The sequence below is a fragment of the Homo sapiens genome, chromosome 19, assembly GCF_000001405.40.
Source record: "Homo sapiens chromosome 19, GRCh38.p14 Primary Assembly".
In the NCBI taxonomy this organism is placed as follows: Eukaryota; Metazoa; Chordata; class Mammalia; order Primates; family Hominidae; genus Homo; species Homo sapiens.
In genome coordinates this window covers 47,886,682-47,911,285 of record NC_000019.10, presented here as the reverse complement: position 1 = coordinate 47,911,285, position 24,604 = coordinate 47,886,682, and the positions used below count along the sequence as shown (strand labels likewise).

General features: G+C 45.1%; 1 non-coding gene across 1 annotated transcript, besides 3 other annotated features; it reads right to left on the bottom strand.

Annotated features, from left to right (window-relative positions):
* Positions 1,628 to 2,228: an enhancer, noted in NCBI's record as "OCT4-H3K27ac hESC enhancer chr19:48412315-48412915 (GRCh37/hg19 assembly coordinates)". NCBI's record gives its function as "activates a minimal SCP1, AML or CMV promoter by ChIP-STARR-seq in naive H9 embryonic stem cells {active_cell/tissue: H9 hESC(naive)}" and the evidence as "EXISTENCE:reporter gene assay evidence [ECO:0000049][PMID:30033119]".
* Positions 3,487 to 3,608, bottom strand: SNAR-A12 (small NF90 (ILF3) associated RNA A12). The gene has a single exon (NR_004437.1). It is a non-coding gene; the product is annotated as a small NF90 (ILF3) associated RNA A12 (small nuclear RNA).
* Positions 14,120 to 14,414: an enhancer, noted in NCBI's record as "tiled region #10552; HepG2 Activating DNase matched - State 5:Enh". NCBI's record gives its function as "activates a minimal TATA promoter and a strong SV40 promoter by Sharpr-MPRA in HepG2 cells {active_cell/tissue: HepG2}" and the evidence as "EXISTENCE:reporter gene assay evidence [ECO:0000049][PMID:27701403]".
* Positions 14,120 to 14,414: a silencer, noted in NCBI's record as "tiled region #10552; K562 Repressive non-DNase unmatched - State 23:Low". NCBI's record gives its function as "represses a minimal TATA promoter and a strong SV40 promoter by Sharpr-MPRA in K562 cells {active_cell/tissue: K562}" and the evidence as "EXISTENCE:reporter gene assay evidence [ECO:0000049][PMID:27701403]".

Here is a 24,604-nt window from a genome sequence, read left to right as displayed (position 1 = left end):
AGTCTAAGGTTTTTTGCGCTGGTTGGTAGGTCTTGTATGACTAACTCAATTTTGGAACTCATCGTTGGTTTGTTCAGGGTTTCCATTTCTTCCTGGTTCAATCTTGAGAGGTTTTATGTTTCCAGGAATTTCTCTATTTCTTCTAGTTTTCTAGTTTTTGTGCATAGAGGCATTTGGAATAGTCTCAGGGTTTCTTGTATGTCTGTGGGTCAGTGGTAATGTCACCTCTGTCATTTCTGATTGTGTTTATTTGGATCTTGTCTTTTTTTCTTTATTAATCTAGCTAGTGGTCTTTCCATGTTATTTATGCTTCCAAAAATATCAACTTTGTATGAATTAACAGCATTTGCAGTGACCTGGATGAGACCGGAGAGTATTATTCTAAGTGAAGTAACTCAGGAATGGAAAACCAAACATCGTATGTTCTCACTGATATGTGGGACCTAAGCTATGAGGACACAAAGGCATAAGAATGATACAATGGACTTTGGGGACTTAGGGGGACGAGTTGGCGAGGGCGAGGGATAAAAGACAACAAATAGGGGGTAGTGTATACTGCTCAGGTGATGGGTGCACCAAAATCACAAATCACCACTAAAGAGCTTATGTAACCACATACCACCTGTACCCCAATAATTTATGGAATAAATAATAAATAAATAATTTTTTTAAAAAATCAACTTTGGGTTTCATTGATCTTTTGTATGGTATTTTACATCTCAATTTCATTCAGCTCAGCTCTGATTTTGTTTTTTTTTTTTCTTCTGCTAGCTTTGGGGTTGATTTGCTCTTGTTTTTCTAATTCCTCTAGGTGTGATGTTAGGCGGTTCATTTGAGATCTTTCTAGCTTCTTAATGTAGCCATATAGCACTAGAAACTTCCTCTGAGCACTGTTGTAGCTGTGTCCCAGAGATTCTGGGATGTTGTATGTTTGTTTTCATTAGTTTCAAATAATTTTTTTATTTCTGCCTTAATTTCAGTCTTTACCCAAAAGTCATTTGGAAGCAGGTTGTTTAATTTCCATGATGACTCTAGGCCGGGCATGGTGGCTCATGCCTGTAATCCCAGCCACTTGGGAGGCTGAGGCAGGAGAATCGCTTGAATCCAGGAGGCAGAGGTTTCAGTGAGCCAAGATCACGCCACTGCACTCCAGCCCGGGCGACAGAGTGAGGCTGCGTCTCAAAAAAAAAAAAAAAAAAAATTGCCCCTTCTTAAGTTTGCATTTAGATCTCTTCTCCTTTGACCACTTTTAATTTATCTTCACTTCTGATATGACATTTTATTTTTTATTCATTTTCTGCCTGTTTATTATTGTTCCTCTTTTAACTTAAAAAAAAAAACATGTGTGTACTTTATGAATTTCTGTTTCAAGGTGTTTTTCCCATCTCCAAATGCTTACTTGAAAATATTTCCTTTCCTCTTGGTTCATTTCTTCTGGTGTGTGTGTGCGCACGCCCGCGTGCATGTGTGTACTCGGGTCTCATTTTCTGCTTTCTTCCTGCAGTACCTCGTTTATGGGAGATGCACTTCGCTTTTGTTATTTTTTTAGTAGAGAGGGGGTTTCACTGGTTTAGCCAGAACAGTCTCGATCTCCTGACCTCGTGATCCGCCCACCTCGGGCTCCCAAAGTGCTGGGATTCCAGGAGTGAGCCGCCGCGCCCGGCCGTCCACTTTGCTTCTTGCAGAGGCTGATGGCTTGAGTAATTTCCGAGATTCATAGCTCGAGCGCGCCCTCTTCTGTCTATGCAGTGAAGGGCAGCTTTTTGCATCCACGGCTTTTTGTTGCCAAGGAGGAATGTGCAGTGGCCAGATTTGTTTCTTCCCCTTTTGTTGCTGTTGTTGTTGTTGCTGCTGCTGTTATTGTTGTTGTTGTTGTATTTTATTTTGTAGCATCCTAAAGTGTCCCCTCCTTCTATTTCTTATCCTTATCCAGGTAGGGTGTAGAAAAGCTAACTTAAGGGGCAGGGGAGAGAGAGAAAGAGAGGAAGAGAAAATGAGAATGAATGACAATACATGAACCCATGGGTCAACCTTTATTTCAAGGCAGCCCAAAAGGACGGCTCTCCCTTCTCTTTCACTCTCTTCTCTAGGTGTGAAGCTGATGCAGCACAGGCGAGCCCCAAAATTGAGGCTTAGCCCGGGGGGGTTCTTGGCTTCTCCTAGAAACTAATTCAAGAAGCCGGGCGCACTGGCTCACGCCTGTAATCCCAGCACTTTGGGAGGCTGAGGCGGATGGATCACTTGAGGTAAGGAGTTCGAGACCAGCCTGGCCAAAATGGTGAAACCCCATCTCTACTAAATATACAAAAATTACCCGGGCATGGGGACGGGTGCCTGTAATCCCAGCTGTTCAGGAGGCTGAGGCAGGGGAATCGCTTGAACCCGGGAGGCGGAGGTTGCAGTGAACAGAGATCGTGTCACTGCACTCCAGCCTGGGTGATAGAGTGAGGCTGCGAATCAAAAAAACAAAACAAAACAAAACAAAACAAAACAATTCAAGGGCAGGCCGGTGGTTTTAGACGGCAACTTTTACTGAAGCGTCAGTGCACAGCCACAGCAGAGGGACACACACCTGTATCTTTTCTAAGACTGGGAGAATTTTACAATTGCTTGACTAATTGAACAGTGCCTCGAGGATGTTACACTAGGTTATAAATAAATTCCTGCCGTGTTTAGCTGAGGCACGAACACAATGCCCACTGACAATTCCACTTTCCTCGAGGGCCATTCTTTATGAAAGGCTGTAGGAGTTCCACGACATTGTTGATTCCTGGATTCTCCAAGTCTCTAGAACTTGAGAACTACTTTTGTGTATTTTTTTAACCTTTAAGTTCAGAGTTTCTAATGTCCGTTTTATACTACTATAAAATGGTACTATGTATTCTTTATTTATGGTACTATTTACACTTTATTTTATACAGACTCTGGCTCCACAAAAATGTTAAAAATTAGCCAGGTGCAGTGGTGCACATCTGCGGCCCCAGCTACTCAGGAGGCTGAGGCAGAAGGATTGCTTGAGCTCGGATGGTCAGGGCTGCAATGAGCTATGATCACACATCACATCAATGCACTCCAGCCTGGGCAACACAGTGAGAACCTGTCTCTAAAAGAATAGAAGAGGCTGGGCGCGGTGGCTCACGCCTGTCATCCTACCACTTTGGGAGACCAAGGCGAGTGGATCATTTGAGGCCAGGTGTTCAAGACCAGCCTGGTCAACATGGCGAAACCCCATCTCTTGGCAGGCGACTGTAATCCCAGCTACTCAGGAGGCTTAGATAGGAGACTCCCTTGAACCGACGAGGCGGAGGTTGCAGTGAGCGAAGATCACACCACTGCACTCCAGCCTGGGCAACAGAGCAAGGCTCGGTCTCCCAAAAAAAAAAAAAAAAAAGACACATGGAAGTAATTTAAAAACACTTAGGAAGATGTCATTTCTTCCTATCAAGGCGTCCTCCCTTTATGTTTTGTCGTTATATTGGGAACGATAAAAAAAAGTCCTTTTTTCCGACCCATGTGGACCAGGCTGGCCTCGAACTCGTGCCCTGGAACCCCCGCCTCCGTGAGGGCCCGAGGGCAGGCGCAACCTGCCTGAGCCACAATGGCTCCGGGTGTCGGGGCTGTCCTTTAGTCCCTTTGATCTTACGCAGGGTGAGGGAGCCAATCACCAGAGGCTCCCCCCTGTCGTCACCCAGTCCCCAGGGCCAGTGAGGGCCCTGCGTTCCATGGCGCCCCCTGGAGGGAGGAAGGGGAACTGTATCTGAGAGTTCAGTATCTGACAATAAGGAAAAGGCATAGGAGATCAGATGGTGCCTAGTGTTCTGGAGAGAAGAAACAACGGGGTTGGGGAATGCGGAGTTGCAGTTTATAATACAGGCCTCATGTATAAGGCAGACCTCATGGGGAAGGTAACATCTGTGCAGAGAAATGGAGATGAGGGCTAGGAGCCATGCAAATACTGGAACATGCTTGCCAGCAGAAGTCGAGAAACATGGCCGGCGCAGTGGCCCACACCTGTAATCCCAGGACTTTGGGAGGCCGAGGCAGGTAGATCACGAGGTCAGCAGTTCGAGACCAGCCTGGCCAACATGGTGAAACCCTGTCTCTACTAAAAATACAAAAATTAGCTGGGTGTGGTGGCACACGCCTGTAATCCCAGCCACTTGGGAGGGTGAGGTAGGAGAATCGCTTGAACCTGGGAGGTAGAGGTTGCAGTGATGCAGTGAGCCGAGACCACGCCATTGTACTCTAGCCTGGGCGACAGAGCGAGCCTCCATCTCAAAAAAAAAAAAAAAAAAAAAAGCAAAAACAAACAGGCGAGATTCATTTGGATAAAATAGCTGATTTAACCTAATATACCTAAAACATCATAATTTTAACATAATCAATAGAAACATTTTTGCAAGATTTTATGTTATTTTTTACCATACGACGTCTTGGAAATGTTGGTTTGGACCAGCCATGTTCAACTGCTCAGTAGCCATGTGTGGCCAGAGGCGGCCATATTGGACAGTGCAGATGGTGCATGAGGGTGTTCGGGCAGTGGGAACAGCCAGTACAGAGGCCCAGTGGGGGCACATGCCTGCTGCTACGGGAACAGTGAGGAGCCCCGTGTGGCTGCAGTGGAGTGAGAGGGAGAAGGTGGGAGATGTAACCAACAGTCTCATCATTCATTCATTAAATCCTTTTTTTTCTTTTTTTGAGACTGAGTTTCGCTCTTGTTGCCCAGGCTGGAGTGCAATGGTGCCATCTCGGCTCACCACAACCTCCACCTCTTGAGTTCAAGCGATTCTCCTGCCTCAGCCTTCCGAGTAGCTGGGATTACAGGCATGCGCCACCATGCCCGGCTAATTTTGTATTTTTAGTAGAGCTGGGGTTTCTCCCTGTTGGTCAGGCTGGTCTCGAACTCCCGACCTCAGGTGATCTGCCCGCCTTGACCTCCCAAAGTGCTGTGATTACAGGCTTGAGCCACTGCTCCCAGTCCATTGAATGTGTGTATATATAGTTGAATAAAGAAGACACCGGAGTTTGTTCTGTATCTTCTCCTTTCAAATTCTGTGCCATTTGAATTTTTTCCTATTCCTTTTATATATTTTTAATTGACAAATTGTACATATTTATCATGTACATATTGTTTTGAAATATGTATATACCGTAGAATGGCTAAATCAAGATCATTAACATATGTATTACTTTACCTATTTTCCTTTTTTCGTTGTGTCTCTGCCAGGTTTCAGTATCAGAATGACTCTGACCTCATAGAATGAGTTAGAGAGCAGTTGCTCCTCCTCAATTGTGTGGAATAATTTCAGTAGGATTGGTGCCGGCTTTTCTTTACACATCTGGTAGGATTCGACTGTGAATCCGTCTAGTCTAAGGTTTTTTGTGCTGGTTGGTAGGTTTTGTATGACTAACTCAATTTTGGAACTCATCGTTGGTTTGTTCAGGGTTTCCATTTCTTCCTGGTTCAATCTTGAGAGGTTTTATGTTTCCAGGAATTTCTCTATTTCTTCTAGTTTTCTAGTTTGTGTGCATAGAGGCATGTGGAATAGTCTCAGGGTTTCTTGTATATCTGTGGGTCAGTGGTAATGTCACCTTTGTCATTTCTGATTGTGTTTATTTGGATCTTGTCTTTTTTTCTTTATTAATCTAGCTAGTGGTCTTCCCATGTTATTTATGCTTTCAAAAATATCAACTTTGTATGAATTAACAGCATTTGCCGTGACCTGGATGAGACCGGAGACTGTTATTCTAAGTGAAGTAACTCAGGAATGGAAAACCAAACATCGTATGTTCTCACTGATATGTGGGAGCTAAGCTATGAGGACGCAAAGGCGTAAGAATGATACAATGGACTTTGGGGACTTAGGGGGACGAGTTGGCGGGGGCGAGGGATAAAATACAACAAGTAGGGTGTAGTGTATACTGCTCAGGTGATGGGTGCACCAAAATCACAAATCACCACTAAAGAGCTTATGTAACCACACACCACCTGTACCCCAATAATTTATGGAATAAATAATAAATAAATAATTTTTTTAAAAAATCAACTTTGGGTTTCATTGATCTTTTGTATGGTTTTTTACGTCTCCATTTCATTCAGGTCAGCTCCGATGTTGGTTTTTTTTTTTCTTCTGCTAGCTTTGGGGTTGATTTGCTCTTGTTTTTCTAATTCCTCTAGGTGTGATGTTAGGCGGTTCATTTGAGATCTTTCTAGCTTCTTAGTGTAGCCCTTTAGCACTAGAAACTTCCTTTGAGCACTGTTCTAGCTGTGTCCCAGAGATTCTGGGATGTTGTATGTTTGTTTTCATTAGTTTCAGATAATTTTTTTATTTCTGCCTTAATTTCAGTCTTTACCCAAAAGTCATTTGGAAGCAGGTTGTTTAATTTCCATGATGACTCTAGGCCGGGCATGGTGGCTCATGCCTGTAATCCCAGCCACTTGGGAGGCTGAGGCAGGAGAATCGCTTGAATCCAGGAGGCAGAGGTTTCAGTGAGCCAAGATCACGCCACTGCACTCCAGCCCGGGCGACAGAGTGAGGCTGCGTCTCAAAAAAAAAAAAAAAAAAAAAATTGCCCCTTCTTAAGTTTGCATTTAGATCTCTTCTCCCTTGACCACTTTTAATTTATCTTCACTTCTGATATGACATTTAATTTTTCATTCATTTTCTGTCTATTATTGTTCCTTTTTTAACTTAAAAAAAAATTCTGTGCTTTATGAATTTCTGTTTCAACGTGTTTTTCCCATCTCCAAATGCTTATTTGAAAATGTTTCCTTTCCTCTTGGTTCATTTCTTCTGGTGTGTGTGTGCGCGCGCCCGCGTGCATGTGTGTACTCGGGTCTCATTTTCTGCTTTCTTCCTGCAGTACCTCGTTTATGGGAGATGCACTTCGCTTTTCTTATTTTTTTAGTAGAGAGGGGGTTTCACTGGTTTAGCCAGAACAGTCTCGATCTCCTGACCTCGTGATCCGCCCACCTCGGGCTCCCAAAGTGCTGGGATTCCAGGAGTGAGCCACCGCGCCCGGCCGTCCACTTTGCTTCTTGCAGAGGCTGATGGTTTGAGTAATTTCCGAGATTCATAGCTCGAGCGCGCCCTGTTCTGTCTATGCAGTGAAGGGCAGCTTTTTGCATCCACGGCTTTTTGTTGCCAAGGAGGAATGTGCAGTGGCCAGATTTGTTTCTTCCCCTTTTGTTGCTGTTTTGTTGTTGCTGCTGCTGTTATTGTTGTTGTTGTTGTATTTTATTTTGTAGCATCCTAAAGTGTCCCCTCCTTCTATTTCTTATCCTTATCCAGGTAGGGTTTAGAAAAGCTAACTTAAGGGGCAGGGGAGAGAGAGAAAGAGAGGAAGAGAAAATGAGAATGAATGACAATACATGAACCCATGGGTCAACCTTTATTTCAAGGCAGCCCAAAAGGACGGCTCTCCCTTCTCTTTCACTCTCTTCTCTAGGTGTGAAGCTGATGCAGCACAGGCGAGCCCCAAAATTGAGGCTTAGCCCGGGGGGGTTCTTGGCTTCTCCTAGAAACTAATTCAAGAAGCCGGGCGCACTGGCTCACGCCTGTAATCCCAGCACTTTGGGAGGCTGAGGCGGATGGATCACTTGAGGTAAGGAGTTCGAGACCAGCCTGGCCAACATGGTGAAACCCCATCTCTACTAAATATACAAAAATTACCCGGGCATGGGGACGGGTGCCTGTAATCCCAGCTGTTCAGGAGGCTGAGGCAGGGGAATCGCTTGAACCCGGGAGGCGGAGGTTGCAGTGAACAGAGATCGTGTCACTGCACTCCAACCTGGGTGAGACTCTGTCCTAAAAAAAAAGAAAAAAAAAAAAAAAAAGGCCAGGCGCGGTGTCTCATGCCTGTAATCCCAGCACTTTGGGAGGGCAAGGTGGGCAGATCATGGGGTTAGGAGTTGTAGACCAGCCTGGCCAATGTGGTGAAACCCCGTCTCTACTAAAAATAGAAAAATTAGCCAGGCGTGGTGGCATGTGCCTATAGTCCCAGCTACTCAAGAGGCTGAGGCAGAAGAATCACTTGTACCCAGGAGGCGGAGGTTGCAGTGAGCCGAGATCGCACCACTGCACTCCAGCCTGGGTGAGACTCTGTCTCAAAAAAAAAAAAAGGTGCATTAAATGTTGCCTGGAAGGTGCAGGGATTGAGGGGAAAGGGACATGCTGTGTTTGTGGCATGCAGGAAGGGATTGTGGGAGAATCCCTGTGAGGAAGCAGAGGACCTTTACCCCTGGAAGATTCACATAGCCGCTACCTAATTCTAAAGACAAGTCCCCTAGAAATTTGGTAAGACAATAGTAAAATAACCTTTTGGATCTCAAAAATCTGTAGGACTCTGTGTATGGATGGGAACTGTCTGAAGGTCATTAAGGTTAATGACGTGAAGAACGGAGTTCAGCACTTTGTTCTATCTCTCGGGTGCCTGAACATTCTGTTCAAAGCAGAAACAGAACTTGATCTGCAAGTGCCACTTAATGGAGCATCACTGGTCCCCTGGAGCAAAAAATGTCCCCAGGACTGCTTTTCCTTCCTCCCATCCCCGGCTGAAATGTTCACACTCACTGCGGCTTCTCTAGTAAGAATATCTGCAGATTCTGCAGATCTTCTGGCAAGATTGATGAACCTGAGAGAAATATCAACGAAAATGATACAAAAGTATGCAGATTTCTTTCAGATGCAAACGTTTGTTTGTTGTTTTGTTTTTTGTTTTTTTTTGTGTGTGTAACAGAGTCTCACTCTGTCACCCAGGCTGGATTGCAGTGGCACAATCTCGGCTCACTTCAACCTCCGCCCTCCGAGTTCAAGCAATTCTCCTGCCTCAGCCTCTGGAGTAGCTGGGATTACAGGAGCCTGCCACCACGCCCAGCTAATTTCTGTATTTTCAGTAGAGACGGGGTTTCACCATCTTGGCCAGGCTGGTCTTGAACTCCTGGCCTCGTGATCCACCCGCCTCGGCCTCCCAAAGTGCTGGGATTACAGGCGTGAGCTACCATGCCCCACCACAAACGTTTGGCTTATTAATTTTTGTTTATATGGTTAGAGAAGAGTACAGAATGGGAGAGAAGTTCTGGGTTCTGTATTAAAAACTCACTGTTGGCTGGGCGCAGTGGTTCACGCCTGTAATCCCAGCACTTTGGGAGGCCGAGGCAGTTGGATCACCTGAGGTCAGGAGTTGGAGACCAGCCTGGCCAACATGGTGAAACCCCATCTCTACTAAAAATACAAAATTAGCCTGGAGTGGTGACACATGCCTGTAATTCCAGCTACTCGGGAGGCTGAGGCAGGAGAATTGCTTGAACCCGGAAGGCGGAGGTTGCAGTGAGCCGAGATCTTGCCATTGCACTCCAGCCAGGCAATAAGAGTGAAACTCCCTCTCAAAAAAAACAGAAAAAGAAAAGAAAAAAAAACGAACTCACTGTTTCTGGATTCTGTCCTCCCTAACAGGCACCTTACCTTAGAGAGCCTAGAACCCTCAAGGTCCCCAAGGATGTGTGGGATTTGAGTACCGTTGTTGGACATCTTCAGCTTTGTGCAATAGAACTGATGAACATCAACTAATAGGGAAGGCCCACGTAGCTCTGGAGGAAGCGGGGCCATGTAGAACTAAAGAGCACTGTATTAGCTTCCTGTGCCTGCCAGAGCAAACCACCACACTATCGTGGGTTATTCTCTCACAGTGCTGGAGGCCAGAAGTCCAAAATCAAGGTATCGGTCAGGCCACATTCCCTCTGGAGGCTCTGGGGAAGGATCCTTCCTGGTCTCTTCCAGCGCCTGGTGGCTGCAGACCTTCGGTGGCTTATGGCTGCAACACTCCAGTCTCTGCCTCCAACTTCATGTGGCCTTCTACTCTGTGTGCCTGTGTCTTCTCCTCTTTTTTATCTCATAAGGATACTTGTTATTGGATTTAAGGCCCACCAGGTAATTAATGATACTCTCATCTTGAGATTCTTCACTTGATGCCATCTGCAAAGACCCTTTTTCCAAATAAGGTCACATTGGTAGGTTCCAGAGGTTGGGACGTGAACGTATCTTTTGGGGACCATAAGTCACAGATTACAAACACAGACTTGGAATGAAAGTGCCTGGGATCAAATCCCAGCTCTGCCACTTAGGAGCTACATGACTTCGTAAAATGATTAACCACTCTGAACACCCCCTTTTTTAACTCTAAAATAGAGATAATAATAGTTCCCTGGTATGTATGAAAGCATTTATGAAACATCAAGTATTGGCATTTTGTCCTCACTCCTACCTGACTTTATATATTTGATTTCAACTCAACCTCAGATTCATTTCTCAGATGTGATCCATTGAAATTTCAGGTTGTTCTATGTTAGTGAAGATATTTCCCTCCCGACACATCAAGCGCTCAAGCCTTTCTGCCCTCACCTCACTGCAGCATTGAGAAAACCAGTTGTTTAAATTAAGTGAAATTTGGCCTAAAGCTGCCTCCTTATGTGGCAAACTGTAACCTAACAATATATAAACAAACTTCAACCAAACTTAAGAGTAGATGGCTGGGCACGGTGGCTCACGCCTGTAACCTCAGCACTTTGGGAGGCCGAGGCAGGCAGATCATTTGAGGTCAGGAGTTCAAGACCAACCTGGCCAACATGGTGAAACCCCCTCTCTTTTTACAAAAAAAAAAAAAAATTAGCCGGGCATGGTGGCGTATGCCCGTAGTCCCAGCTACTCGGGAGGTTGAGGCAGGAGAATCGCTTGAACCCGGGAGGCAGAGGTTGCAGTGAGCCGAGATCCTGCCACTGCACTCCAGCCTGGGTGACAGAGCAACACCCTGTCTCAAAAAAAAAAAAAAAAAAAAAAGAAAGAAATAATTGAGGGAGTGAGGCTACAGATAATGATATATGAAGCAATCCCACTGGTTAAGCACTTAATCTCCAAAGGTGTTCGTATTTTGTCACAAAAGGTATATATGTAGTCAGAAGAACAATCATATAGAATAAGAGAGAAATTCTGAATTCTGTGTTGAGAACTTACTGTGTTTGGTTTCTGTCCTCCCTTCCTAACATCTTCAATAGCCTGAAACCTTAGCTCCATTAAGGACATCTGGGCACTGGTGCATGTTTTAGGGATCTTAAATTGAGTCTGGGCTTATATGCAGAGGGGAAATTATTGGACAAGATGGGGCCCAGCCCATAGTTAGTGTTCGTATAATTCACCGAGTATCAAATAAATGAAAGGATCAGAAGAGTAAATCTGTGGCATAGGATAAGGGGACAGTTAGCACTCTCCAGGGAAACAGAATCAACAGGAAAGTGATTGATTTCAAGAAATTGGGCTGGGTACGGCGGCTCATGCCTGTAATCCCAACACTTTAGGAGGCAGAGGTGGGTGGATTGCATGAGGTCAAGAGTTCAAGACCAGCCTGGCCAGTATGGGGAAACCCCGTCTCTACTAAAAACACAAAAATTAGCTGGGCATGGTGGCGCACGCCTGTAATCCCAGCTACTTGGGAGGCTGAGGCACAAGAATCGCTTGAACCCAGAAGGCGGAGGTTGCAGTGAGCTGAGATCGTGCCACTGCACTCTAGCCTGGGCGACAGAGCGAGACTCTGTTTCAAAAAAAAAAAAAACACGGCAGGGAGGAGTAAAGAAATTGACGAAATTGACTCATGCAGTTGTAGAGGCTGGCAAGTCCAAAATCTGTAGGGCACGCTGGAAGTTTGGAAGCTTAGAGAGGATTTGATGCTGCAGTCTTCAGGCAGAATTTCTTCTACAGGAAACCTCTTTATGTTCTTAAGGCCTTCAACTGATTAGCTTGGGCCCACCCAGGTTATCGCCATTCATCTCCTTTATTTAAAATCAACTGATTGTAGATGTTAACTGTGTCTACGAAATACTGTCACAGCAACACCTAGGCTAGCATTTGATTAAACAAGTGGGTACTGGGCCGGGCACAGTGGCTCATGCCTGGGAGGCTGAGGCAGGTGGATCACCTGAGGTCAGGAGTTCAGGACCAGCCTGGCCAACATGGTGAAACCCCGTCTCTACTAAAAATACAAAAATTAGCCGGGTGTGGTGGCGGGCACCTGTAATCCCAGCTACTCAGGAGGCTGAGGCAGGAGAATTGCTTGAACCCGGGTGGCAGAGGTTGCAGTGAGCTGAGATTGTGCCACTGCACTCCAGCCTGGACGACAGGGCAAGATTCTGTTAAAAAAAAACAAAAAACTGCGTACTGCAGGCTAGCCAAGCTGACACAAAAGTCTAAACATCACAGACATCATCAGGGTCAACCGGTAGAAATTAAAGGACTTAAATTAGTGTTTCAGTAGGCATGCTTGAACCGGAATAGACACTGTGGGGGGAGGGGCGTGCAGAGTTCTGTGCATCGACTGCTGACTGCTCAGAGTCAGGAAACAAACCATACATATTCTGTTTGCCCCATCTGGGCTATGCCACTATAGTGTCTTGCAATACATCCTAACAATTAGGAACCCTATTAAGGTTGGTGCAAAAGTAATTGCAGATTTGCCATTGAAAGTAATGGCCAAAACCACAGTTACTTTTGCACCAATCTATAGATTGAAACGAGACTGATGATTCCCTCCCTGGAGTCTTATAAACAGGATGGGAGCCATCCAGGCAGTTAGAGGGATTATACTTCCTGGGGGTGGGGGACTAAAATAGAAGTCCACAATAAAACCATTTCCTGGCTGGGCGAGGTGGCTCATGCCTGTAATCCCAGCACTTTGGGAGGCCTGAGTCAGGTGGATCACCTGAGGTCGGGAGTTTGAGACCAGCCCGACCGACATGCAGAAACCCCGTCTCTACTAAAAATACCAAATTAGCCACGCATGGTCGCGCATGCCTGTAATCCCAGCTACGCAGGAGGCTGAGGCAGGAGAATCGCTTGAACCCGGGAAGCGGAGGTCGCAGTGAGTCGAGATCGCGTCATTGCACTCCAGCCTGGGCAGCAAGAGCAAAACTCTGTCTCAAAAAAAAAACAAAAACAAAAACAAAACAAAACAAAAAAACCCATTTCCTATCATCCAGCAGATACCAAATACAGAGCGCATTCAACCTCAGGCATTTGCTTCCTAACTCCTACAATTTGATCTATTTCCTTCTACAAAAAAATTACGTGCACAGCGTCAGAAGGGCAGTGAAAAATGAGGAATGTTCCACTTCTGTTGTTGCCAGGGCGTTCCTAAATATCCTGCAAATGCAGGAGTCCTCTGCCAACGGGTGCTAGCGCTCAAGGCTTTGGCCTGGAATCAGTGTGAAACTTCTGTTCTCTCTTCCTGCAAATCCAGATGGAGCCCCTGGATCATAAAATAAAAACGGGACCAATGTCCAGGAATGGCTCCTATTAGGTTGGTGCAAAAGTAACTGCGGTTTCTTGGCTGGGTGCAGTGCCTCACGTCTGTAATCCCACCACTTTGGGAGGCTGAGATGGGTGGATCACCTGAGGTCAGGAGTTCCAGACCAGCCTGGCCAAAATGGTGAAACCCTGTCTCTACTAAAAATATAAAAATTAGCTGGGCATGGCAGCGGGTGCCTGTAATCCCAGGTACTCGGGAGGCTGAGGCAGAGAATTGCTTGAACCTGGGAGGCAGAGGTTACAGTGAGCTGGGGTTGCATGGTGAAATCCCATCTCTACTAAAAATACAAAAATTAGCCAGGCATGGTGGCACATGCCTGTAATCCCAGCTACTCAGGAGGCTGAGGCAGAAGAATCGCTTGAACCTGGGAAGCGGAGGTTGCAGTGAGCTAAGATCGTGCCACTGCACTCCAGCCTGGATGACAAAGTGAGACCCCACCTAAAAAAAAAAAATCAATAAAAATAAAAAGGCCGGGCATGGTGGCTCACGCCTGTAATCCCAACACCTTGGGAAGCCGAGACGGGTGAATCACGAGGTCAGGAGTTCAAGACCAGCCTGGGCAACATGGTGAAAACCCCATCTCTACTAAATATACAAACATCAGCTGGGCATGGTGGCAGGTGCCTGTAATCCCAGCTACTCGGGAGGCTGAGGCAGAGAATTGCTTGAACCTGGGAGGCAGAGGTTGTAGTGAGCCGAGATCATGCCACTGCACTCCAGCCCGGTCAACAGAGTGAGACTCCGTCTCAAAAAAAAAAAAAAAAAAAAGTAATTGCAATGTCATAAATGTAATGGCAAAAACCGCAATTACTTTTCCACCAACCTGATGGAAGTAGATCCTGGTGCGTTGCCCAGGCATGCCGTTTATAGGTAAATGGAAAGGGCAAAGGTACACAGGGAGATAACTAGATAGCATGAAGCCCTGATCTCAGGTCTTTGTCAGCTTGTGGCAGGTGGAATTAAGCCTATTTAGCAGAAACTCAAAGGCACACTTCCCCTGCTGTACAGTGAACACACGCATTTGTAGAGCTTGGACCACAGATATCAGGGACCCCTGACTTGACATAGCGTGCAGATGGAAAGTGGGGTGAAAGTCCTTCTTCCAGAGTCTGAAGTTGACCCATGAGCTAGCTCTCTGAAGCTAGCAGGCCTGGCCAGGGCTTAACACATCTTCCCATAATGCACACACATTGTCCAGACTAAATGTTTATTTCTCAACCTACATATCAACTCTCCACTCTGTTTCAACGTGAGCATCCAAAAACCTATCAAATAACCACAATTCTTACAGTCAAAGTGAATTTTTATCAATAGCATTCTTTTCAGATTTCTCCAGTAAACTGTCTACCAAAGGGAGGGTATAAAACCTTCTGCTATGAACAGTTATCACATAAAGGTATGTATTTCCATCCTGGCCATGTTATTTGGGTTTGTGTGATCTTTACTGGGCCACAAGAATATTAGCATCTGGAAGTCAGCAAGTTCTCTGAAAAATCAAACTGGTGGCTTGTTCCCAAAGATGGTACCCAAAGAGCGATCTACCAGTATTTATTCCCTGTGTCATTCCTTCCCCTTGAATCAGGACTGGACCTATGACTAGGTTTTAACCAATAGAATAAAGCAGAAGTGATGCCTGTGACTCCTAAAGTCAGATCCTAAGAAACATTGAAAGTATCACCTTAAGTCTCTTGGAGCATCCTCACTGGGAGACGGCCATGCTGTAAGGAAGCCCAAGCTAGTCACACAGAGAGGCATCTTTTAATTTTTTTCTTTTATTTTTAGAAATCGGAATGGGGGGAATAAAAGAAATTGGAATAGGAGTATGAGAGGCATCTTTAAGATACAGATGTCCAACCAGCCCGAAGCTGTTCCAACCTTCAGAGCCCAGGTGCAAGCCATGTGAGTGAAGAAGTCTTCAAACAATCCCAGCCCTAGATATTATCTGGCTGCAGTATCATGACAGACTCCAAATTAGAACCACTCAGCTGAGCCCAGTAAAGCCCTAGAACCACAGAATTGTGTTTTAAGCCAGGAGTCAGCAAACTACCATATACAAACCAAATCGGGCCCACTACCTTGTTTGGTAAGCAAAGTTTTGTTGGCACACGGCCACACTCATTCATGGATGTATTGTCCATAATGTTTTCATGCTGTAATGGCAGAGTAGTAGAAACATGGCCTTCAAAGCTGAAAATATTCATTCTCTAGCCCTTCTCAAAAAAAAAAAAAAAAAAAAGTCTGCCCTATGGAGTCATAGAACAGAAAACAGTTCTGTGCCCTCCCTTTGCAGGTGGGATGGCGGTGAGGGAGGTTGGACCATGGAAGACCTTGGGTCAGGGAGCCACCTCACTCCCTCCCTCCACCAAAAACAAACAAACAAAAAAAAGTTTGCCAAATCTCTACTTTAAGCCACTAAGTTTGGGGGTGGTTTGTTAGGTACTAGTAAAGAAAACAGAACATTAATAATTTCACAATCTGTATTTTGCAACTGAAGGATACTGAAAAATTGATTTCTAAACTAAGTACTATAAAATGTTGCCAGGACCACTTGTTTCTTTCCTAACATTCCTTCCTGGAACAAATGTTCTAAGTTTTCCAATTCCATTAGCAGAATGATGACTCAGCACAAATTCAAAGGACTAAACCTGAGTTTGAATCACAACTAGGTCACTTTCTTTTTTTTGAGACAGAGTCTCACTCTGTGCCCAGGCTGGAGTGCAATGGCACGATCTCGGCTCACTGCAACCTCCGCCTCCCAGGTTCAAGCGATTCTCCTGCCTCAGCCTCCCGAATAGCTGAGACTACAGGTGTGCAGCACCACCATGCCCGGCTAATTTTTGTATTTTGAGCAGAGACAGGGTTTCACCATGTTGACCACGCTGGTCTCGAACTCAGGTGATCCGCCCGCCTCGGCCTCCCAAAGTGCTGGGATTACAAGCATGAGCCAACATGCCCAGCCACAGCTGGGTCACTAACTCTGTAACTAAGGATGAGTTAATTAATCATTTTTTTCCTGCGGGAGAAAAGGGAGCCTAACAGTGTTGTGATTAAGAGCACATGTTCTGGGTTTCAGTTTGAGGTGGGAACTTGTTTGCTGTGTGTTCTTGAGCCCACAACCTAACCTCTCTGTGGTTCAGATCCTGCATCTGTAAAATGAGGAAAATATTATTAACTGCTGCTGGGCACGGTGGCTCACACCTGTAATCCCAGCACTTTGGGAGGCCGAGGCGGGAGGATCACGAGGTCAGGAGTTTGAGACCATCCTGGCTAACACGGTGAAACCCCGTCTCTACTAAAAATACAAAAAAAAAAAAAAATTAGCCGGGCATAGGTGGTGCACGCCTGTAGTCTCAGCTACTTGGGAGGCTGAGGCAGGAGAATGGCGTAAAATCCAGGAGGTGAAGCTTGCAGTGAGCTGAGATCGCGCCACTGCACTCCAGCCTGAGAGACAGAGCGAGACTCTGTCTCAAAAAAAAAAATTAACTGCTTCATAGAGTTCTTAGAAACATTCAAATCATTTAATGTTTTGTAAAGTACTTAGAATGTCTGGCACGAAATAATCTTCATCTAAATGTTTATGGATGAAAAAATACTGACTTTATGGCCGGGCGCGGTGGCTCACGCCTGTAATACCAGCACTTTGGGAGGCCGAGGTGGGCGGATCACGAGGTCAGGAGTTCGAGACCATCCTGGCCAACATGGTGAAACCCCGTCTCTACTAAAAATACAAAAAAATTAGCCAGGCGTGGGTGGCGGGCGCCTGTAGTCCCAGCTACTCAGGAGGCTGAGGCAGGAGAATGGCGTGAACCCGGGAGGCAGAGCTTGCAGTGAGCCAGGTTCACGCCACTGCACTCCAGTCTGGGTGACAGAGCAAGACTCCATCTCAAAAAAAAAAAAAAAAAAAAGAAAAGAAAAGAAAAAATACTGACTTTAGACCGGGTGTGGTGGCTCACCCTTGTAGTCCCAGCACTTTGGATGGCCAAGGCAGGCAGATCACCTGAGGTAAGGAGTTCGAGACCAGCCTGGCCAACATGGTTGAAACCCCATGTCTACCAAAAATACAAAAATTAGCCAGGCATGATGGTGGGGGGCTGTAATCCCAGTTGCTTGGGAGGCTGAAGCACAAGAATGGTTTGAACCAGGAAGTGGAGGTTGCAGTGAGCCGAGATCGCATCGCTGTACCCCAGCCTCGGAGACAGAGTGAAACTCTGTCTCAAAAAAACAAAAAAAGAAAACAAAAGAAATACTGACTTTAAAAGTTCAAAAGTATCCTTTAAGATCTGTGTGTCTCAGTTTCATCATCTGTAAAATAAAGTAAAATAATTTCTTACCCTTCCCATGGTCACTGTGAAAACTAAATAACATAATCTTGTTGTTGGCAGTATTATTATAATTGTCTTTAAAATACATGATTGCTTATATGATTGCTTTTAGAATTTTATAATCTAGTTTTTTGTTTGTTTGTTTTGAGACGTAGTCTTGCTCTGTCACCCAGGCTGGAATGCAGTGGCGTGATCTCAGCTAACTGCAAGCCCCGCCTCCCGGGTTCATGCCATTCTCCCGCCTCAGCCCCCTGAGTAGCTGGGACTACAGGCACCCGCCACCACACCCGGCTAATTTTTTGTATTTTTAGTAGAGACAGGGTTTCACCATGTTAGCCAGGATGGTCTCGATCTCCTGACCTCATGATCTGCCTGCCTCGGCCTCCCAAAGTTCTGGGATTACAGGTGTGAGCCACCGCGCCTGGCCTATAATCTAGTTCTTTTAGAAAGAATGAATGTGAAATGGAAGTATGTGCCCATGTGAAAGATGGCATCTATTCTAAATGTGCCTCCAGGAGATGAACTCTACCCTTCTCTCTGCTGATGACACCAGCATTCACCCGTCCTCTTTGTCTGAATAACAGCTTTTACATCTAAGACAGTGGTTCTCAACTAGGGGCAATTTTTTTTTTTTTTTTTGAGACAGGGTATCACTCTGTCGCCCAGGCTGGAGTGCAGTGGCATGATCTCAGTTCACCGCAACCTCTGCCTCCCGGGTTCAAGTGTTTCTCCTGCCTCAGCCTCCCAAGTAGCTGAGATTACAGGCACCCGCCACCACGCCTAGCTAATTTTTTGTATTTTTAGTAGAGACGGAGTTTCACCATGTTGGCCAAACTGGTCTCAAACTCCTGACCCACCTTGGCCTCCCAAAGTGCTGGGATTACAGGCGTGAGCCACTACACCCAGCCCTGTTGCAGCTTTTTCACTACTGATGTTCAGTGAATGGGAGGGAGTGTTGTAGTTCTTTTACTCCCACCACCAGCAAGCTCCAGGTTCTTGTCCCACAACCAAGAAGAATAAGAAACGTTGACACTGGAGACTGAGTAGGACAGAGTGGGATTTATCAAGCGAAAGTGACAGAAAAGCTCTCAACAAAGAGAGGTGACCCGACAAAGAGTTGCTGGCTGCAGGGCTAAGTTCAGTGGTTTTATGGACTGGGAAGTGGGAGGAGTGTGCTTGACTGGTCTGTGGGCCACTCAGAAAGACACACAACAGTGAAAAGAGCCAATTAGAGGCTGAGGTGAAGGCTTGGCCTGCAACCAATTAGGGGCTGGAGTGATGTTACACTTTATGCAAATGAGGATTTTGCCCACGGCCAATCACAGAAAGATAAGTATATGTAAAATAGGTGAAAGGTAAGGATCAATCCAGAGGAAGCATGTGAAATGAGACAAACATGCATCAAAGGGAGGAAAATGTGTCCAAAAAAGGAGTGGAATTTGTTTATCTAGGTTCACAGAGCAGGCATTTCCATTCAAGGACGCGGGCTGTTTCTTATCTAGGGCCTGTAGCTTGATATTCAGGCTGTTCTTGATTTGAAGAAATTTTGCTGATGTGAGCTCTTTCTTATCTGGGGCCTGCAGCTGGATTTTCAGGCTGTTCTTCGTTTGAAGGAGTTTTACCAAGGACTCACCCTAACTGCCTGTCTGACCACTTTCTTCCTACCTCCTCTCTCACTATCCACAGCCCTGATCTCAGCCCTGGGGGGACATTGACATCTTCTCCCAGATCAGCTCCTCAGAGGCCTCACTCTGGGCCACAGCTGAAGTGATTCTTCCAGCTCCAGAGATTACTGCCAGACATGGAAAGAACCCAAACCAGATGCTGGAGATAAGATCTCAGGAGCTCATCCCAGCCAATCTGCCAGTGCCCACGTGGAGCCATGTTTAGGTTTTATCTATTCATTTTATAATGAAATGTCTCACACATATAGAAAAGCAGGTAAACAGGCTGGGCACGGTGGCTCAGGCCTGTAATCCCAGCACTTTGGGAGGCTGAGGCAAGCAGATCACTTGAGGTCAGGGGTTTGAGACCAGCTTGGCCAATATGGCAAAACCCCATCTCTACTAAAGATACAAAAATTAGCCAGGTATGGTGGTGCCTACCTGTAATCCCAGCTACTCAGGAGGCTGAGGCAGGAGAATCACTTGAACCCAGAAGGTGGAGGTTGCAGTGAGCCGAGATCACGCCATTGCACTCCAGCCTGAAAAACAGAGTAAGACTCTGTCTCAAAAAAAAAAAAGAAAAGAAAAGCATGTCAACAAAACTCTTTAAGGCTATCATTTTGCCCTATGGCTTCAGATAAAGACTCCAGTGAGAAAGTCAAAACACAATTGAGGCTTCTTCTAAAGTCTTTCCTGAGTCTGCTGCTCTGCTCCCCTTTCCAGAGGTGAAATTGTTCTGCAACTTCCTGCCCGTGGTGTTTACGATCATGGCACCTCTCCCCACTGCTCTGTGCCTGTGAACGTGGCCTGAGCACCATCTCTTCATAATTAGGAATCTGCCTGTTCCTCTAACATTCTGTGCTGAGTGTGTGCAGGCTGACAGATGTAAGTCCCATTCATTCATTCATTCATTCATTCATTCAACTATAGTGTCATCTTCCACATATTCTATAACTTATCCTGTGTTTTAAATTAATCATTCATCCCCAAATTCAACTGGTTTCCCATTTTTCACGGTTGCAATGTTGAAATACACATTTTTTTTTCGAGTTTCCTTGTCCATGTATGAAAATGTCTCCAAGGACATATATCTCTGCAAGTTTCAACTCCAGTTACTTTCTGAAACTCTCCTCCAATACCACCATGCAAATGAACAGATCCCCCAAATTCGAACGGCCTGACCAACAGGTAGTATCATCCCATTTTTTTCTTCTAACGTATAAGAAGTGACAACCTACATGCATTACTGTGATTTTGATTTGTATTTCCCTGATTACAGGTATGATTAATAATCAATTGTATGGTTTAATGGTCCTTTTATTTCCCTTTTCTGTCAAATAATAATATCCTTTGTCTTTTTAAAAAAGATATAAGTATGGCCAGGCGTGGCGGCTCATGCCTGTAATTCTTTGGGAGGTCAAGGCAGGTGGATCACCTGAGATCAGGAGTTCAAGACCTGCCTGGCCAACATGGTGAAACCCCATCTCTACTAAAAGTACAAAACTTAGCTGGGCATGGTGGCACACCTTTGTAATCCCAGCTGCTCAGGAGGCTGAGGCAAGAGGTTCACTTGAACTGGAGAGGCGGAAGTTGCAGTGAGCTGAGATTGCACCACTGCACTCCAGCCTGGGCAACAGAGTGAGACTCCATCTCAAAATAAAATAAAATAAATAATAGGCCAGGCGCAGTGGCGCATGCCTGTAATCCCAGTACTTCGGGAGGCCGAGGAGGGCGGATCACGAGGTCAGGAGATCGAGACCATCCTGGCTAACACGGTGAAACCCCGTCTCTACTAAAAAAATACACAAAATTAGCCGGGCATGGTGGCTGGCACCTGTAGTCTCAGGTACTCGGGAGGCTGAGGCAGGAGAATGGCGTGAACCCAGGAGGTATAGAGCTTGCAGCGAGCTGAGATCGTGCCACTGCACTCCAGCCTGGGCAACTGAGCACGAGACTCCGTTTCAAAAAAAAAAAATTTTTTCACAATTTAAAAAGTACAGGCCCGTCATTTTGCAGACTGTCCCTCATTTGGGGTTCATATAATGTTATCTCACTAATATATTCAGGCCTAGAGTTTATGTTTAAAATATGGCCACATAGAAAGGGAAGAGGGAGAAAAGTCAAGTGACCTCTGGTGACCAAGGTCAACATCATTAGTGCCAGGTCATGTTGCTAATAAGTCCCCTTGATATGGTGTGATGATCATGGTATTTTACCTCTGTGACCTTCCTCTCCAAAACCCATGAACTCATTTGTTGGATGAGAAAACCTGCAATAAATCCCAAAGGAGGAACATTGTACAAAATGCCTCACCAGTGTTCTTCAAAACCATCAAGGTCATCAAAAATGAGGAAAGTCGGCCAGGCGCAGTGGTTCGCACCTGTAATCCCAGTACTTTGGGAGGCCAAAGTGGGCGGATCACCTGAGGTCAGGAGTTCGAGACCAGCCTGGCCAATATGGTGAAACCCCGTTTCTACTAAAAATGCAAAAATTAGCCGGGTGTAGTGGCGCGTGCCTGTAATCCCAGCTACTCGTGAGGCTGAGGCAGGAGAATCACTTGAACTGGGGAGGCAGAGGCTGCAGTGAGCCAAGATTGTGCCACTGCACTCCAGCCTGGGCAGCAGAGCAAGACTCCATCTCAAAAAAAAAAAAAATGAGGAAAGTCTGAGCAACAACTGTCACAGCCAAGAGGAGCCCAAGGAGACAGGATGAGTGTATGTCATGTACTATACAGGATGGGATTTTGGGGCAAAAAAAGGGCATGAGACAGTGAGCCAGGATCATGCCACTGCACTTCAGCCTGGGCAACAAAGAGAGAACTCTGTCAAAAAAAAAAAAAAAAAACACGAGCATGAGATAAAAACTAAGGAAATCCAAATTAAGTATGGACTATGGGAACTCTCTGTACTCTCTTTGCAATTTTTCTGTAAGTCTAAAAGTGCCCTAAAAAATGAGGCGTATTAAAAATATTTTTTTCCTGTTTGGGAAGAGTTTAGAAACTGGAAATACTAGATTCAGGAGAAGGGCAGACTTGCTTGATAAGGGACCGATGTTTGTGCAGTAATTTGGAGTGTGGTTTGTTTTTGAATCTTTAATTAAATCCTGGGATTGGCCGGGCGCAGTAGCTCACACCTGTAATCCCAGCACTTTTGGAGGCCGAGGCGGGTGGATCACGAGGTCAGGAGTTTGAGACCAGCCTGGCCAACATGGTGAAACCCCATGTCTACTAAAAGTACAAAAATTAGCCAGGCGTGGTGGTGGGCGCCTGTAATCCCAGCTACTCAGGAGGCTGAGGCAAGAGAATCGCTTGGACCCAGCAGGCGGAGGTTGCAGTGAGCCCGAGATCATGCCATTGCACTCTAACCTGGGTGACAAGAGCAAGAGTCCATCTCAAAACAATAAATAAATAAATAAAATTAAAAAGTAAAACCTGGGATTATATATCGCTGATAGATATTCACGCTTGAACCACAGTTACTATAAAATGCAAAAATTCTTAATACTGTTATTCTTTGCACTTTTTCTTAATCATTTTATATATATGCATATATATATGCGCATATATATATGCATATATATATACATATATATCTTGTTTAGGTTGTTTTGTACAGATGTGGGCCACCATTGCAACAAAATAAATTCTTTTTGCTCTAAAATATTTATAAAGAAAATACTTAAATGTGATGTACAGGGTGGTAATAAGGGAAAAATCAAGTATTATAAACAAGAATGAAGGCTTTTTTTCTTTCCTTTTTTTTTTTTTTTTTTTTGAGACGGAGTCTCGCTCTGTCGCCCAGGCTGGAGTGCAGTGGCGAGATCTCGGCTCACTGCAAGCTCCGCCTCCCGGGTTCATGCCATTCTCCTGCCTCAGCCTCCTGAGTAGCTGGGACTACAGGCACCCGCCACCACGCCCGGCTAATTTTTTGTATTTTTAGTAGAGACGGGGTTTCACCGTGTTAGCCAGGATGGTCTCGATCTCCTGACCTCGTGATCCGCCCGCCTCGGCCTCCCAAAGTGCTGGGATTACAGGCGTGAGCCACCACACCGTGCCCAGACCAAGAATGAAGGTTTTTGTAAAGATTTCTGTTCAGTGTTTTGCAAGGTAAAATTCTAGGCACGTTTTCCCTGAAGTTATGTGTATGTGAGTATTCTCATTCTTCCCAACTTGCCTTTGAAGAGTGAAAAAACATTATTATCAAGTAGACTTCTATTCAGCTTTTGCTCCTGCCCTGCTGTTTATCCCTTAAGAATGAGTTTCTTGGACTTTCCCAATATGTGATTTTTTTTTCCCATTTAGAATGGTGATTTTAAATGTGTGAGTGCATGCATTATCTTATCTCAGATATTTGCACCCCCAATCCACCCCCATCTCCCTAAAGCTAGAACACTGCCAACTGATCTGTTGTATAGGTCCTTTAGAAACACATAATTAGGCTGGGCGTGGCGGATCACAAGGTCAGGAGATTGAAACCATCCTGGCTAACACGGTGAAACCCCGTCTCTACTAAAAATACAAAAAATTAGCTGGGCGTGGTGGCGGGCACCTGTAGTCCCAGCTACTCTGGAGGCTGAGGCAGGAGAATGGCATGAACCCAGTAGGCAGAGCTTGCAGCAAGCCGAGATCGCGCCACTACACTCCAGCCTGGACGACAGAGTGAGACTCCATCTCAAAAAAAAAAAAAAAACAAACAAACACATAATTAACACTTAAGGTTGGGTGCTGCCAATTCTTTGTGAAAATCCAAATATTATTAAGGAAACAGGGAGATGCCACTACCTCTTGATTTTCCATCTAAAAACATACATGTTTATGCAAACAAATCTTTCCATATTCATAGTGACTTTTCAAGTATTTGAGTCTAAAGATTTTCATCTCACATTTTTATACCGTTTAAATTGTTCACAATTATTACATACACGTCAGCCATCAACTAAAGTTGTACTTTAAAAATTTACTACAATATATACACTGCTAATATTTGTACTTACTCTTTTTTTCTCTAGAGTGGAGGTATAATTGTGTGATACTTCAGAAATACAGATAAATGATTCAAAAAGTCTCAGGGAGAATAATGTTTCTTTGATCGTGAATAACTGATTAGTAATTCTTGCCTATATTTTCCTGAGAGCATATGACAAATGTTTCTAAGGTAACAAGATGAGAACAGATAAAGACTGTGTGGTCTTTTGGATTTGGAGAGACATATTTTAATTTTTAAATGCAGTTACAAATTATAATGTATTCATATTTGTACTTTCTGT